The sequence below is a fragment of the Homo sapiens genome, chromosome 1 (genome assembly GCF_000001405.40).
Source record: "Homo sapiens chromosome 1, GRCh38.p14 Primary Assembly".
NCBI lineage: Eukaryota > Metazoa > Chordata > Mammalia > Primates > Hominidae > Homo > Homo sapiens.
Genome location: NC_000001.11, coordinates 247,067,041 through 247,084,407, shown reverse-complemented (window position 1 = coordinate 247,084,407; position 17,367 = coordinate 247,067,041). Strand labels below are relative to the sequence as shown.

Sequence of the window (17,367 nt, the reverse complement as noted above, 5' to 3'; positions counted from 1 at the left end):
AATTAGATACCATTTGTCGATATTTGCTTCTGTTGCAATTGCTTTTGGCATCTTTATCGTGAAATCTTAGCCCGTGCCTATGTCCTGAATGGTATTGCCTAGGTTGTCTTCCAGGATTTTTATAGTTTTGGTTTTTACATTTAAGTCTTTAATCTACCTTGAGTTAATTTTTGTATATGGTGTAAGGAAGGGGTCCGGTTTCAATTTTCTGCATATGGCTAGACAGCTATTCCAGGTGTTTGTTTGTCTGTTTGTTTTGAGATGAAAGTCTTGCTCTGTTGCCCAGGCTGGAGTGCAGTGGCACAATCTTGGCTCACCACAACCTCTGCCTCCCAGGTTCAAGCAATTCCCCTGCCTCAGCCTCCCAAGTAGCTGGGATTACATGTGCCTGCCACCATGCCTGGCTAATTTTTGTATTTTTGGTAGAGATGGGGGTTTCACCATGTTGGCCAGGCTGGTCTTGAGCTCCTTACCTCAAGCTATCTGCCCACCTCGGCCTCCCAAAGTGTGGGATTACAGGCGTGAGCCATCGCACCCAGCCCATTGCTGATTTTTGTCAGGTTTGTGGAAGATCAGATAGTTGTAGGCATGTGATCTTATTTCTGGGCCTTCTATTTGTTCCATTTGTCTATGTGTCTGTTCTTGTACTAGTACCATGCTGTTTTGGTTACTGTAGCCCTGTCGTATAGTTTGAAGTCAGGTTCCACGAGGCCTCTAGCTTTGCTCTTTTTGCTTAGGATTGTCTTGGCTATTTGGGCTCTTTTTTTGGTTCCATATAAATTTTAATACCAAGTCCTGGCAGAGACACAACAAAAAAAAGAAAATTTGAAGCCAATATCCTTGATGAACATCCATGCAAAAATCTTCAACAAAATACTGGCAAACTGAATATAGCAGCACATCAAAAATCTTATTCACCACGATCAAATAGGCTTCATCGCTAGCATGCAAGTTTGTTTCAACATATACAAGTCAATTAATGTGATTCATTGCATAAACAGAACTACAGAAAAAAACCACATCATCATCTCAATAGATGCAGAAAAGGCTTTTGATAAAACTCAACATCGCTTCATGCTAAGAACTCTCAATAAATTAGGTATTGAAGGAACATACCTCAAAATAATAAGAGCCATATATGACAAACCCACAGAAAACATCATACTGAATGAACAAAAGTTGGAAGCATTCCCCTTTAAAATTGGCACAAGACAAGGACGCTCTCTCTCACCACTCCTATTTAACATAGATATTGGAAGTTCTGGTCAGGGCAATCAGGCAAGTGAGAGAAATAAAGGGCATTCAAATAGGAAGAGAAGAAGTCATATGATCCCTGTTTGCAGATAACATGATCCAGTATCTAGAAAACCCCATGGTCTCAGCCCAAAAGCTTCTTAAGCTGATAAGCAACTTCAGCAAAGTCTCAGGATACAAAATCAATGGCAAAAATGTCTAGCATTTCTATACATCAACAACAGTCAAACAGAGCAAAATCATAAATGAACTCCCATTCACAATTGCCACAAAAAGAATAAAACACCTAGGAATACAGCTTACTAGGGAGGTGAAAGATCTGCACAAGGAGAACTACAAACCCCTGCTAAAGAAACCAGAGATGACACAAACAAATGGAAAAACATTCCATGCTCATGGATAAGAAGAATCAATATCATTAAAATGGCCACACTGCCCAAAGCAATTTTTGGATGCAATGCTATTCCCATTAAACTAACACTGATATTCTTCACAGAACTGTCTCTGTCCTGATTTTTTAATTTTTCTTTTTTCTTACTATAGGTTTACTTTGCCTGTAATCATACAAAAGATATTATGTCCAGCTGTCTCACTCAGCACATTCATGAGGCTCATCTAGGGCATGCTCTTCAGTTGTTTTTGTTCCTTTGTATCTCTGAGTAGTATTCTGTTGTAATGTTAGACTTGGAACCAACCCAAATGCCCATCAATGATAGAGTGGATAAAGAAAATGTGGTACATATGCACGAAGGAATACTATGCAACCATAAAAAAGATGAGTTCGTGTCCTTTGCAGGGACATGGATGAAGCTGGAAACCATCATTCTCAGCAAACTAACACAAGAACAGAAAACCAAGAACCACATGTTCTCACTCATAGGTGGGAGTTGAACAGTGAGAACACATGGATGCAGGGAGGGGAACATTACACACCAGAGCCTGTTGGGGGATGGGGGCTAGGGGAGGGATAGCATCAGGAGAAATAAATACCTAATGTAGATGATGGGTTGATGGGTGCAGCAAACCACCATGGCACGTGTATACCTATGTAACAAAACTGCATGTTCTGCACATGTACCCCAGAACTTAAAGTATAATTAAAAAATGCAAGAAAAAAAAAGGAAGCGTTTCTTTTATATATTGGTGATCACACATATACCACATCCATGTAGATTTCCCATTGCCATAAAGCAAATGGAAAAACACATAAGCTGACGGCAGACATTTCAAAAGTGATTGCGCCCGTAAGGGAGATCCGAATTACAACTTATGTTACAGTTATAGAACTTACATTTAAAATGTTTTTCAATACAATGAGGGAAACAGAAAAAATATAATAGTGTGCAAAGAACAAGAAACTCTCCGCTTGACAAGCCATATTTGGAAAAGAGCTAAATATGAAGTAAATAATTGAAAATGTAATTAATATGCTTAATATACAACATATGGGTTAAATGTTAAGTTATTCTGAGCTGATGAGAACATTACTTAACTGGTATATTGAGCAAAATAAAAATAGTAGAAGGAGAAAAAATATAAAATACAAATATAATTAAACATAGAAGTGAAATGAGAGAGAATAAAACAAATCTAATTGTTTTTCTAGACTATATTAAAATAATTCAAGTAAGTACTCAAAGAGTCGGTGATTTATAAGTTTTTAAAATTGAACATCAGACATAAATCCTTGAATTCAGAAATGCAATGTGTCAAAAAAAATTACTTAAATAATAGTCAAGGTGCATAACACCAAAGAGAAGGAAAACACTAAAAATCAGAGAAAAAAAGAGATAATTTACGAAGATGAGAGCAAAATTTCCACAGCTTGAGTAGAGCCAAAAATAATGAAATAAATATTAATGGACCTGGCAAAAATTGTCACGTAAGCAAGAAGTGAATACTTACCTACCTAACATGCCTTTAACAAAAAAGGGTGAGGCCGGGCGCGGTGGCTCACGCCTGTAATCCCAGCACTTTGGGAGGCCGAGGCGGGCGGATCACGAGGTCAGGAGATCGAGACCATCCTGGCTAACACGGTGAAACCCCGTCTCTACTAAAAATACAAAAAATTAGCCGGGCGTGGTGGCGGGCGGCTGTAGTCCCAGCTACTGGGGAGGCTGAGGCAGGAGAATGGCGGGAACCCAGGAGGCGGAGCTTGCAGTGAGCCGAGATTGCACCACTGCACTCCAGCCTGGGCGACAGAGCGAGACTCCGTCTCAAAAAAAAAAAAAAGACAAGAAAACATAAAAATAGAAGAAAACGTTGATAAATATTTCTACAAGCTGTGAGGATAAATCGGGCTTATGACTAAAACCAAGAAATATTAAATTAAAACATTGATAAAGATACAATATAAAACCAGAATATTGTGAGTGTTAGGAAACGCCATAAGCCAAGTAAAAAGGAAAATGCCAAATGGTCATCTTTTTGCAACGTATATAACAGAAAAAGGGAAGCACACAGTTTCTGTCTGCTCCAGAAAATAAGAAAGCTCTCAAAACATATGGTACAAGGACAAAGGAGGCAATGTATAGAGCCCCTCACTTACGATGGGACAATTTGGCCGGGCGCGGTGGCTCACGCCTGTAATCCCAGCACTTTCGGAGGCCGAGGTGGGTGGATCACCTGAGGTCAGGAGTTCCAGACCAGCCTGGCCAATATGGTGAAAGCCTGTCTCTAGTAAAAATACAAAAATTAATCAGGCGTTGTGGTGGGTGCCAGTAATCCCAGCTACTCAGGAGGCTGAGGCACGAGAATCGCTTGAATCCGGGGGGCAGAGGTTGCAGTGAGCCGAGATCATGCCACACTGCACTCCAGCCTGGGCAACAGAGTGAGACTCGGTCTCAAAAAAAAAAAAAAAAAAAAGGGATAATTTGAGCTCAAAAAATAGATACAGACTGCAGTGTATGGAATCTCATTAAATACACAAAAAATAAGGTTAGAAAAAAGTCACTCACATTTTTTTTGTTTGCTGAGGCCACGCCGTCATTGTTATGACAATTGATTAAAGGGAGAATCAAGCTTTTATTCTTCCTTTCCTAATAGGGTAGGTTTTAATGTAATGGAGAGAGTTCATGAGAAAACGCCATTTTTAATAGAAGAATGAGAACTAATACCTGTAGAGAAAATAATTAGAAAACCACTATTTGGCAACTCTCACTGAGATAAGTGAAATTAAGAAATAGTAATCAATAAATAATGAACAGTTACATGAAAGGAACAGGCAGACATTCCCGAACAACCTTAAAATAAAGTGGTAAAACCAGACACGTGTATCCAAATGTGCAGGCTGAATTGAAACATGCTGGAAGCTTAATATATAGAGTGATTTTTCATTAATAATATATCGATTGTAAGGCCGTCTGAGCAGGCTGCGCCATGGTCAAGCCATTGTGATCCCTGTGACCCACACGTGTACATCCAGAAGGTCCTGGAGCCAGAAAGTCTGGGACAACAGGAAAACCACAAAGGAAGAAAAACGGCTAGTTTCTGTCTTAGCTGATTAGCCAACCTTGCAGCATTTTACCGTTGTGACGTGCACTACCCTAACTGATCAATCAGCCTAGTGACACTGTGACCCCTCCCTCTTGTGACAATGTACTTTGTGACATTCTTCCCCCGCCGGTAATAAACGGCCCCTGACTGTAACTTTCCACTGCTTACCCCTCACCTATAAAACTAACTCCAATCCCACGACCCTCCGCTGACCCTCTTTTCGGACTCAGCCCGCTCGCACCCGAGTGAGTAAACTAGCCTTGCTGCTCACACTTAACCTGTTTGGGTAGTCTCTTCAATTAGGCGCGAGCTTAACATCGATCATATATTGAAACAATATTTTTGGATATATTTGGTTAAATAAATCATTGTAATCAATTTCACGTGTTGTTTTCTTTTCTATTGCTACTGGAACACACGCGGCTCACATTTTATTTCTATGGGGCGTTGCTACCTGAGAGGACATTGTCTTTTCAAAATTCAAGCTGCCTCTAATCCCACTAGAAGCAAGAAAAAAAAAAAAATTCAGGCTGCCTCCTCAAAAGACCAGAGGCCAGGAAGGTTGTGAAATCTGAAATTTTAGAATAATTGTCATCATAGTGTTTCCAATTGTAAATATCACAAATATTACTCATAAATGGACATAATCCTGTGTATGAGCTTGAATGGGAAAGTCCCCCGGGGGGCGCCAGGTCTCAGCACAGGGCAGAATCCATGCCTTAGAAAAGGACTGCAGGGAAAGAACCTGGCCTCACTCAGCGCCGTGTCTGATTGCATCTCCCGTCACTCAGGACTGAAGGGGCGGGGCCTAAGGCCCTGTCCAATCGGGCGCTGGGAAGGGGACTGTACTCTCAAGCGCGCCGCGAAAGGAGGGAGCAGCTTCCGGGACCTGGCGCGGCTTTTGTGTTGGGCAGCGCGAATGTGGCGAGCTCGGTGCGTCTCCGCTGCTCCTTCCCCTTATCCCTGGGAGGTCCAAGTGGTCCCGCGGCAGCTTCTGTTGCTCTGGGACCTGCAGGTCCCGGAAGGTCCTTAGGGAGGACCCCAGACACCGGAGACTGGGAAATGGTGAGTGTGCCGGCCAGGTGTCTCGGGAAGGGGAAAAGGGAACCGCCAGGAAGCGGTTGTGGCGAACCCGGACCTCCCCGCGGTGCCGACCCGAGTTTCCGCCGGCGCCTCGCGGCCTTAGTGGCACAGGATGCGGGGCTGGACCCGCAGCCAGACCCCGGGCCGCCTGGCTTGTCCCTGCCCCGCCGCTTCGGCCAGGCCCGGAACCCTTTCTGGGCAGCTCTGCCTCTGTAGACCCGCATCTCCCTCGGATCGTGCGGTGCCGACGGGAGGGTCCTCAGGGGAGAGTCCCGACTTGGGGTTCGGGGTTCCTGCGTGGGAGGAGCTGTGGTCTGTGAAGTCTCCAAATCCTCCTTTCTCCTGTTAGAAAGAAAACTGAGGCGCCGTTAAAATATTAAGGAGTTTATTTGAGCAGAGAGTCGTGAGTTAGGAAGCCACCAGCGTGGTTTGTGGTTTGGGGAAGGAAAGGGTTTTTTGTAAGGAACCCGAGGAAGCAAACCCAATTAAATAATTGATCGTGTACAGTTATGTAGTCACCCCATATAGACTGTGCAGCCAGATATCTCCTGGTTATGTAACCAGAGGTTAATTGGTGGGTTCGTGGTTGTTTAAGGCTGTTTTGTTTCCCTTTAAGTTATTAATTTACAAGACAAGCATGAGTTACGTTTTGGTTGGTTGTTTATTCATTCATGTGTGTATGTACATGTGTATGATGGAGTCTTGGACTCGGGCTCAAGCGATCCCCCCACCTCAGTCTCCCTAGTGCCTGTGTTTAATTATTTTCACATAACACTCCACATTTCTAAGTGTATGGCAACAGGATCTCACATCAACGACCCTGTTCCCACAGCCTAACTCTTCTGGGGCTTGTAGTAAAACCCTAAATTTCCAATTCTTTTCCTATATTCAAATGCAACATTATCAAGTATTTGTCTTTTATTGTACATTTCATACAGATGAAGTGTGTTATTTTTTTCAGAGTAGTGAGTCGTTCTGAAAATATTTGTTTTCACTCTTAAAATATTTCTGAACATTACACATGAGTGGAAAGCAGAAAATAATCACCTGACAGTTAATTGTAGAAAAAAAAAGTCTTTGTGCATCTCCTAATTTTATCTTTTTTGAGTGTGCACATCTTACCAGAGTATCTTTGGGGTGAAGTTCCCTTTTGGAAACTTTAGAGGGTGATATGTCCTCAGCCACCCTTATATCTTTTCTTGGTCCTCTGTTTAGCAGCCAGATCTCTTGGAGTGTCTAATGAATACCTTCTCCTGGGTCATCTCCTCACAGAGGACAGTTTAAAATATGGAAGTAGAGCCTCTCCAGGCAGCATCTGGGTGCCCTGGAGTTGAGAGACGTCTCCTAGTATACTCTTCGTTTAAAAAACAAATCCCTGGTGCATTGGGATTTTCTTCCTCCAACCCCAGTTTTCATCATTCCTTGGAGACACGTTGGTGGCAGCCAGTCAGATGCTGGTATTAAGGGAAAAATCTAGAAATGATTCCTGCGCTCTGGATTTTCTCGGACTTGGGAAAGGAGAAAAACTATCTCAAAGGACAAGGAATACCCACCCCAGTGAGGTGGTGCAAGAACCAGAAAAGCACCATCATCAGAATTATGTAAGAAGAGAGTTGGCTGGGCGTGGTGGCCCACGCCTGTAATCCCAGCATTTTGGGAGGCCAAGGGAGGCAGATCACTTGAGGTCAGGAGTTTGAGACCAGCCTTGCCAGTATGGCAAAACACTGTCTCTACTAAAAATACAAAAATTAGCCCAGTCTGGTGGTGCATGCCTGTAATCCCAGCTACTCAGGAGGCTGAGGCAGGAGAATCGCTTGAGGCCAGGAGGTGGAGGTTGCAGTGAGCTGAGATGGTGCCACTGCACTCCAGCCTGGGTGACAGAGGGAGACTCAGTTTGAAAAAGAAAAAAAAAAAAAAGAGAGTTTATTCTAAAGTATTGCAATGGGGAAAAACACCAGGTATAAGAGCTGCAAGCATGTTAAAGTTTAGGCAGAAAAGGGCTTAGAAATTCAGGCACACAGGCCAGGTGCGGTGGCTCACGCCTGTAATCCCAACACTTTGGGAGGCCGAGGCGGGCGGATCACGAGGTCAGGAGATCGAGATCATCCTGGCTAATGTGATGAAACCCCATCTCTACTAAAAATACAAAAAATTAGCCGGGCATGGTGGCGGGCGCCTGTAGTCCCAGCTACTCAGGAGGCTGAGGCAGGAGAATGGCGTGAACCTAGGAGGCAGAGCTTGCAGTGAGCTGAGATCACGCCACTGCACTCCAGCCTGGGTGACAGAGCAAGACTCCGTCCCAAAAAAAAAAAAAAAATTCAAGCACACAGTGGGGCACAGTACAGTGTCTCCTGGGAGGGTGGTCATTGAGTATTTCTGTGAGGAGAATGGGCCTGTGAGGATCTCCAAAGTGATGCAGTGACCTGACCTGACTCTTGACCCAGAGATGTCTGTGTTCTGCCAGCATGACCCCTCCCTGAGTTTATTGCCTTGAAAAGATTTATTCACTTAGTTCAGTTTCAGTTTTTCATTAACTTTAAAATATGTTTTATTCAGAGAGCTTGAAAGATTAAAAAAAAATATTTCCAAAGAGACAAGAAGGAGGTGGATTTCAAGGGGGCAAAAATCTATTCATATTCCATTTGTTAAAAATTCTTGTTAACCTTTTTCTTCCCAAGAGTGAGTGTAGTAAGTTTCTCAAGTCTGTTCTTTTTTGAAGGAGATTTCAAATGGAATTCTAGGACTTTGCTTTGGGAATGTGTATTAGTTTGTTTTCATGCTGCTGATAAAGACATACCTGAGGCTGGACAATTTATAAGAGAAAGAGATTTAAAGGACTTATATTTCCACATGGCTGGGGAAGCCTGACAATCATGCGGAAGGCAACAAGGAGCAAGTCACGTCTTACGCGGATGGCTGCAGGCAGAGAGAGAGAGAGCTTGTGCAGGGAAACTCCAGTTTTTAAAACCATCAGATCTCATGAAACGTATTCGCTATCACCAGAACAGCAGGGGAAAGACCTGCCCCCATGATTCAATTACCTCCCACCACGTTCCTGCCACATGTGGGAATTGTGGGAGTTACAATTCAAGATGAGATTTGAGTAGGGACACAGCCAAACTATATCAAAATGTTACCAGGGAAAAATATGAAAAATCTCTTTTCCATTATGGCTGCAGAAAAATGAATACATTTCCACAAGCAAGTGTTGTAGATAAATTGGTGAATTATAAATATTTATCAAAACATCAGTGCCTCCTTTTTGCAGGGTGGAGAATTTATAACAGTGGATAACCCTGTTTTTTATCCTGTTATCTGGACATTGGAGTTTAATGCTAAGTTTTATGGGATAGGACTTGGCAACTCCTGGAGATGATTTGTTATCATGGAAATAATAAATAAATGACATATTTATTATATGATAGGGATAGATACTTTGGCTTTTCCAGTTGAGGTATTAAACGTAAGTGCCTCACTCAGTTCTTCCTTGGGAGCCTCCCTTTACAGATGTCCCAGCCTGCTCACCTCAGCCATGAAAGGAGCTCTTTATATTGAGAGAAGCTACAGAGTTCTGGAAATCTGGTGTTCACAGGTGGATGTGGTTGGGCCTGGATTGAAAGGATGAGATCCCCTTTTTAAGGGTGTAATTTTCATTGTCCTGGCATTCTTTCTAGACATTATTCAATAAAGCAGGGGTCCCCAACCCCTGGGCCATGGAGCAGTACCTGTCGGTGGCCTGTTAGGATCCAGGCCATGCAGCAGGAGGTGAGCAGCAGGTGAGTGAACATTACCACCTGAGCTCCTTCTCCTGTCAGATCAGTGGTGGCTTTAGAATCTCAGAGGAGCACGAACCCTACTGTGAACTGTGCATGGGAGGGATCTAGGTTGTGTGCTCCTTATGAGAATCTAATGCCTGATGATCTGAGGTAGAACAGTGTGGTCCCAAAACTATCCCCACCATCCATGGAAAATCTGTGTTCTATGAAACTGATCCCTGATGCCAAAAAGGTGGGGAACTGCTGCAATAAAGTAAATTCAGAATTATGTAAGAAGGGAGTTTATTCTGAAGTATTGCAATGAGGAAAAACACTGGGTATAACAGTGGCAAGCATGTTAAAGGTTAGGCAGAAAAGGGCTTTCTTTCATAGGAAGGAGCAAACTAGATTAGAAAAAAGAGGAGAGGAAGAGGGCCGGATGGATTCTAGATCAGAGAACATTTCACCCTGAGGTCAGCCTGTTCACAGGAGAGGCATAAAGAGGGGTTGTATGTTGGCTCAGGCTGAGGGTATATCAGAGTTCAGGGGCCTGAGGGAAGGAGGGAAACTTAAGTAAAATTTGGTTAGCAAGTATTTTGTTCTGACCACTGAAGACAAATTTGGTCAGCTAATTAGTTAAGAGGCGAAAAAAAAATTACGCTGTCTGTTTCTGGCTTTATTGTACGTAAAGGAAGCATCATCTAAGTCATAATGAGAAGGTGTTTGTTTTCACCAAGCTGTTCCTGGAGAACACAAAGAATGTTTTTGTTGTTTGTTTTTTAACTTGCATATATTTAACAGGATTACCTACTCACCCCATCTTCCCCTGCTATGTTCCCGTGTCCTCTACAACTCTTCCATTGAGTTGTTCCTGAGTCACATCTTGTATAATACACTGGTAAACATCAGTAAATTGTTTTTGCTGAGTTCTGGGCATAGTTGTTTTTCACGTTATCAAACCTGAGGAAGGGGTGATGGGAACCTCTGACTTATGAGCAATTGGTCAGAAGGATAGATGGGCCCCTCAGGCTTGCAACTGGCATGTGCAATGTGGGCAGTGTTGTGGAACTGATCTGTGAGCTTATGGGGTATGTGTTGACTCTGAGTGGTGTTGGAATTTAATTGTTGGACAATTAGTAGGTGTTGGAGAATTGGTTGGTGTTCAGCAAAGTCCACACATTTGGTATCAGAAAAAGGACTCACAGATCAGAGCCTTCACCTGACTCTGGGAGAGTGGTCACTGGTGAGAATTGAGACCCTGGAGAAGAAAGCATTTCCTCACTGTGAGCAGGGGATAAATAGGGTGTGTGGAGCTCCCAGAATTAAATTTCCAATTGCTCAGGCTTCCTTCACTCATTCCCTAGGAATGAACCACCTTGGGCTGTATCTCCACCTTGAGAGTGGCCCCCAAGCTTGCCTTCACTCATTCCCTAGGAATGAACCACCTTGGGCTGTATCTCCACCTTGAGAGTGGCCCCCAAGCTTGGGAACCTATTTAACCTACTGAGCACAGGGTTCATCTTTATAAAATCTTGCTGGGTTATCATTCCAGTTTGGGTAAGTATTTAAGAATTTTATTCCATGATTTGAATGTGAGATTTTGATTTTCTTGGTTGAAAAATGAGTGAATTGGGTGATATGACCTGAAAAAATCGTAGATAATTCTTGGAATAAATTGTTTTATGCTAAGTTTAAATGATAAGACTTTAAAGTCATGGGCTCACCGTCCAGGTGAATAAACAGACCTTGTGCAGTTCTGGTGTTCTGATCTTTTCTAACTTCTGCTCAGAGATGTGACTGCAGTTTTGATTATTTTTTCTTATTCTTTGTAGATTAACTATCATGAAGCAGAATTTTGCTCTTTTTTTATGGCTGCATAGTTTTACCTCTTGAGTTTTTAGTAGCTTAATGTTACTATTAGTACACCATTAATACTGTGCCGAAAAGATGTTTGTGTGTGTGTGTGTATGTGTGTGTATGCATATATATATATATATATATATATATATATATATACACACACTTTTTTTTTTGAGACAGAGTTTCGTTCTTGTCGCCCAGGCTGGAGTGTAATGGCACAGTCTCGGCTCACCACAACCTCCGACTCCCAGGTTCAAGCAATTCTCCTGCCTCAGCCTCCCAACTAGCTGGGATTACAGGCATGCACCGCCATGCCCAGCTAATTTTTTTGTATTTTTAGTAGAGACGAGGTTTTGCCATGTTGGCCAGGCTGGTCTCGAATTCCTGACCTCAGGTGATCCTCCCGCCTTGGCCTCCCAAAGTGCTGGCATTACAGGCGTGAGCCACTGAGCCTGGCCTGTGGTTTCTTTTTTTAAGTATATATTAATTTTTGTTTGAAATAATAAGGCTAGGCACAGTGGCTCACCACTGTAATCTCAGCACATTGGGAGGCTGATGTGGGCGGATCACTTGAGTTCAGAAGTTTGAGACCAGCCTGGGCAACATGATGAGACCCTGCCTGAACTTTAAAAAAAAAAAAAACAAAACCAGGCATGGCAGTGCGGAGCTGTGGTCTCGGCTGCTTGGGAGGCTCAGGTGGGAGGATCACTTGAGCCTCAGAGTTCCAGGCTGCAGTGAGCTGTAATTGCACCATTGCACTTTAGCCTGGGCAACATAGTGAGACGCTGTTTAAAAAAAAAAAGTGGCTGGGCGCAGTGGCTGACACCTGTAATCCCAGCACTTTGGGAAGCCAAGGCGGGCAGATCACGAGGTCAGGAGATCAAGATCATCCTGGCTAACACGGTGAAACCCCGTCTCTACTAAAAATACAAAAAATTAGCCAGGCGTGGTGGCGGGCACCTGTAGTCCCAGCTACTTGGGAGGCTGAGGCAGGAGAATGGCATGAACCTGGGAGGCGGAGCTTGCAGTGAGCCGAGATTGCACCACTGCACTCCAGCCTGGGCAACAGAGTGAGACTCCATCTAAAAAAAAAAAAAAAGAAAGAAAGAATAAAACTGTGAAAGGAAATACAAATATTTAGCAATAGGTATTTTACCCAATTTATAAATGAGTTCTTACGTTTTAATGAAAATTCAAAATAGATAACTCAAATTTAAAAAATAACAGTATAAATAATGTACGGTATAAAAGGTTTCATATTACTTTAAGGCATGTAATTTATTACCTTCATATTCAGACCTTCATCATTCACCAGTTTCTTTTTTTCTTATTCAACTTTTATTTTAGGTTTAGAGGCTGCATGTGCAGGATTGTTACATGGGTCAAATATCACTGGTGGGACTGGGTGTGCAAATGATTTTATCACCCAGGTGGTGAACATAGTAACCAATAGGTAGTTTTTAGACCCTCACCCTATTTTCACCATTCATCTTCAAGTATGACCAGTGTTTATTTAACTCTTTGTGTCTGTGTGTACTCATCGTTTAGCTCCCACTTATAAGTGAGAACATGCAGTATTTGGTTTTCTGCCACTGTGTTAATTTGATTAGGATAATGGCCTCCAACTACATCCATGTTGCTGCAAAGGGCGTGATTTTGCTTTTTTCTATGGCTGTGTAATTGTCCCTGGATGTATGTGTACCACATATTCTTTATCCATTTTACTGTTGCTGGGCATATAGGTTAATTCTATGACTTTGCTATTGTGAATAGTGCTGCAGTGAATATACACATGCATGTGTCTTTTTGGTAGAATGATTCAGATTCCCTTGGATATATATACCCAGTAATAGGATTGCTGGGTTGAATGGTAGTTCTGTTTTAAGGTCTTTGAGAAATCTCCAAAATGCTTTCCACAGTGGCTGAACTAATTTACATCCCCTCCAGCAGCGTGTAAGCATTCCCTTTTCTCTGCAACCTCGCAAACATCTGTTATTTTCTGACTTTTTTGTAATAGTTATTCTGACTGGATGGTTTTGATTTGCATTTCTCTAATGATTAGAGATGTTGAGCATAATTTTTCACACACTTCTTGACCATGTGTATGTCTTCTTTGGAGAAGTGTCTGTTCATATTCTTGCCCATTTTTTTATGGAGTTGTTTGCCATTTTTCCTTGTTGATTAGTTCAAGTTTCTTATAGATCCTGGATATTAAACCGTTGTCAGATACACAGATAGCAAATATTTTCTTGTATTCTGTAGGTTGTCTGTTTACTCTGTTGACAGTTTATCTTGTTGTGTAGAGGCTCTTTAGTTTGATTAGGTCCCACTTATTTATTTTTGTTTTTGTTGCGATTGCTTTTGGAGACTTTGTCATGAAATATTTACCAAGGATTATGTCCATAATGGTATGTCCTAGGTTTTCCTCTAGGGTTTTTATACTTACAGGTTTTACATTTAAGTCTTTTTGTTTGTTTGTTTGTTTGTTTTGAGACGGAGTCTCACTCTGTCGCCCAGGCTGGAGTGCAGTGGCGTGATCTCGGCTCACTGCGAGCTCTGCCTCCCGGGTTCATGCCATTCTCCTGCCTCAGCCTCCCAAGTAGCTGGGACTACAGGCGCCTGCCACCACGCCTGGCTAGTTTTTTGTATTTTTAGTAGAGACGGGGTTTCACCATGTTAGCCAGGATGGTCTTGATCTCCTGACCTCGTGATCTGCCCACCTCGGCCTCCCAAAGTGCTGGGATTACAGGTGTGAGCTACCATGCCTGGCCACATTTAAGTCTTTAATCGATGTTTTTTTTCTTAATTTTTTTATTTTTAATTTTTGTGGGTACATACTAAGTATGTATATTTATGGGGTACAGGAGATATTTTGATACAGGGATGCAATTTGTAATAATTACATCATGGAGAATGGGGTGTCCATCCCCTCAAGCATTTACCCTTTGTATTACAAATAATCCAATTATACTTAGTTGCTTTAAAGTGTACAATTAAATTATTGCTGACTATAATCATCCTGTTGTGCTGTCACATGCTAGGTCTTACTTATTCTTTCTGTTTTTTAAATACGCATTAACCATCCCCACCTCTTCCCTAGTCCCCCTGACTACACTTCCCAACCTCTGGTAACCATCCTTTGACTCATGTCCATGAGTTCAGTTGTTTTGATTTTTAGATCCCACAAATAAGTAAGAACTTGTGCTGTTTGTCTTTCTGTGCCTGGCTTATTTCACTTAGCTTAATGACTTCTAGTTCCACCCATGTTATTGCAGATGACAGGCTCTCATGCTTTCTTATGGCTGAATAGTTCTCCACTGTGTGTATGTACATTTTCTTTATGCATTCATCTGTTGATGGACACTTAGGTTGTTTCCAAATTTTGGCTATCGTAAACAGTGCTACAACAAACGAGAGTGTGGATATCTCTTTGACATACTGGTTTCCTTTCTTTTGGCTATATACCTAGCAGGAGGATTGCTGGATCATATGGCAGGTTTCTTTTTAGTTTTTTTTTGAAAGACCTTCAAACTGTTCTCCATAGTAGTTGTACTAGTTGACATTCCCACCAGCTGTGTACAAGGATTCTCTTTTTTTCCATATCCTTGCCAGCATTTGTTACCTTTTTTTGTCTTCTTTAACTTTCTTGGGGACATACAAGGTGTATATATCTATGGATTACATGAGATGTTTTGATACAGGTATGCAATGTGAAATAAGCACCTCATGGAGAATGGGGTATCAGGCATTTATCCTTTGAGTTACAATCAAATTACACTCTTTAAGTTACGTTAAAATGTACAATTAAGTTATCATTGACTGTAGACACCTTGTGCTATCAAATAGTATGTCTTTTTTATTCTTTCTAAGTATTTTTTTTTTGTCAGCCATTAACTGTCTCCACCTCTCCTCCAGCTCGCCACTACTTTTCCCCACCTCTGGTAACCATCCTTCGACTCTCTATGCCCATGAGTTCAGTTGTTTTGATTTTTATATCCCACAGATAAGTGAGAACATGCGATATTTGTTTTTCTGTGCCTGGCTTATTTTGCTTAACATCATGATCTCCAGTTCCATCCGTGTTGTTGCTGCAAACGACTGGATCTCATTCTTTTTTTTTTTTTTTTTTTTGGCAAAATAGTACCCCAGTGTGTGTATATTAGCACATTTTCTTTATGCATTCATTTGTTGATGGACACTTAGGTTGCTTCCACATCTTAGTTATTGTAAGCAGCACTGCAACAAACATGGGAGTGCAGATATCTCTTTGATATACTGGTTTCCTTTCTTTTGGGTATATACCCAGCAGTGAGATTGCAGGATCATATGGCGGCTCAATTTTTAGTCCTTTGAGGAATCTCCAAAGTTTTCTCCATAGTGGTTGCACTAATTTACATTCCCACCAACAGTGTACAAGGGTTCCTTTTTCTCCATATTCTTGCCAGAATTTGCTATTGCCTGTCTTTTGGATTTAAGCCATTTTAACTGGGGTGAGATGATATCCTATTGTAGTTTTGATTTGCATTTCTCTGATGATCAGTGATGTTAAGCATCTTTTCATATGCCTGTTTTCCATTTGTGTGTCTTCTTTTGAGAACTGTCTATTCATATCTTTTGCCCATCTTTTTTTTTTTTTTTTTTGGAGACAGAATCTTACTCTGTCACCTAGGCTGCTGGAGTACAGTGGTGTGATCTTGGCTCACTGCAACCTCTGCCTCTTGGGTTCAAGCGATTCTCCTACCTCAGCCACCTGAGTCTGGGATTACAGATGTACACCACCACACCTGGCCAATTTTTGTATCTTTAGTAGAGATGGGGTTTCACCATGTTGGCCAGGCTGGTCTCAAACTCCTGAGCTCAAGTGATCTACTGCCTCGGCCTCTCAAAGTGCTGGGATTACAGGCGTGAGCCGCTGCGCCCAGCCTTGCCCATCTTTTGATCAGATTATTAGATTTTTTTCCTATAGAGTTGTTTGAGCTTCTTATATATTGTGGTTATTAATCCCTGTTCAGATGCATAGTTTGCAAATATTTTCTCCCATTTAAGTGGGTTGTCTCTTCACTTTGTTGATTGTATCCTTTGCTGTGCTGGAGCTTTTTTTTTTTTTTTTTTTTTTTTTGAGACGGAGTCTCGCTCTGTCGCCCAGGCTGGAGTGCAGTGGCGGGATCTCGGCTCACTGCAAGCTCCGCCTCCCGGGTTCACGCCATTCTCCTGCCTCAGCCTCCCAAGTAGCTGGGACTACAGGCGCCCGCCACTACGCCCGGCTAATTTTTTGTATTTTTAGTAGAGACGGGGTTTCACCGTTTTAGCCGGGATGGTCTCGATCTCCTGACCTCGTGATCCGCCCGCCTCGGCCTCCCAAAGTGCTGGGATTACAGGCGTGAGCCACCGCGCCCGGCCTGTGCTGGAGCTTTTTAACTTGATGTGATACTTTTTGTCCATTTCTTCTTTGGTTGCCTGTGCTTGTGGGGAACTACCTGTGAACTCAATGTATCTGAGACAAGTCTTTTTTTTTTTTTTTTTTTGAGACGGGATCTTGCTCTCACACCCAGGCTGGAGTGCAATGGCATGATCTTGGTTTGCTGCAACCTCTGCCTCCCAGGTTCAAGCGATTCTCCTGTGTCAGCCTCTTGAGTAGGTGGGATTACAGGCACCCGCCACCATGCCCGGCTGATTTTTGTATTTTTAGTAGAGATGGGGTTTCACCATGTTGGCCAGGCTGGTCTTGAACTCCTGACCTCAGGTGACCCACCCACCTTGGCTTCCCAACGTGCTAGGATTACAGGCATGAGCCACCGCGCCTGGCCGAGACAAGTCTTAATCAATTTAGGAAGTTTATTTTGCCAAGGTTACAGGATGTAACCATGACATAGCCTCAGGAGGTCCTTGATGACATGTACCTGTGGTAGTTGGGGGCACA

The 17,367-nt window shown here is 42.5% G+C and overlaps 1 protein-coding gene and 1 long non-coding RNA gene across 3 annotated transcripts in view, besides 2 other annotated features; both read left to right on the top strand.

Annotated features, from left to right (window-relative positions):
* Positions 5,421-5,734: a silencer, noted in NCBI's record as "fragment chr1:247241976-247242289 (GRCh37/hg19 assembly coordinates)". NCBI's record gives its function as "represses an EF-1alpha promoter that drives an FKBP-Casp9 reporter gene in an ReSE screen in HepG2 liver carcinoma cells {active_cell/tissue: HepG2}" and the evidence as "EXISTENCE:reporter gene assay evidence [ECO:0000049][PMID:32094911]".
* Positions 5,563-5,632: a silencer, noted in NCBI's record as "silent region_2042". NCBI's record gives its function as "represses an Ori minimal core promoter by ATAC-STARR-seq in GM12878 lymphoblastoid cells {active_cell/tissue: GM12878}" and the evidence as "EXISTENCE:reporter gene assay evidence [ECO:0000049][PMID:35858748]".
* The window catches only part of ZNF670-ZNF695 (ZNF670-ZNF695 readthrough (NMD candidate)), a 133,266-nt gene continuing 121,495 nt past the window's right edge, over positions 5,597-17,367 (top strand). Inside the window, exon 1 of the long non-coding RNA NR_037894.2 lies at positions 5,597-5,814. This is a non-coding gene — a long non-coding RNA (ZNF670-ZNF695 readthrough (NMD candidate)). The remainder of the gene's footprint in view (positions 5,815-17,367) is intronic.
* Positions 5,597-17,367, top strand: part of ZNF670 (zinc finger protein 670) — a 44,175-nt gene continuing 32,404 nt past the window's right edge. For both annotated transcript variants that reach the window (NM_001204220.2, NM_033213.5), the window contains exon 1: positions 5,597-5,814. In NM_001204220.2, the coding sequence (NP_001191149.1) occupies positions 5,812-5,814 (3 nt within the window). In that variant the 5' untranslated portion in view covers positions 5,597-5,811. The remainder of the gene's footprint in view (positions 5,815-17,367) is intronic.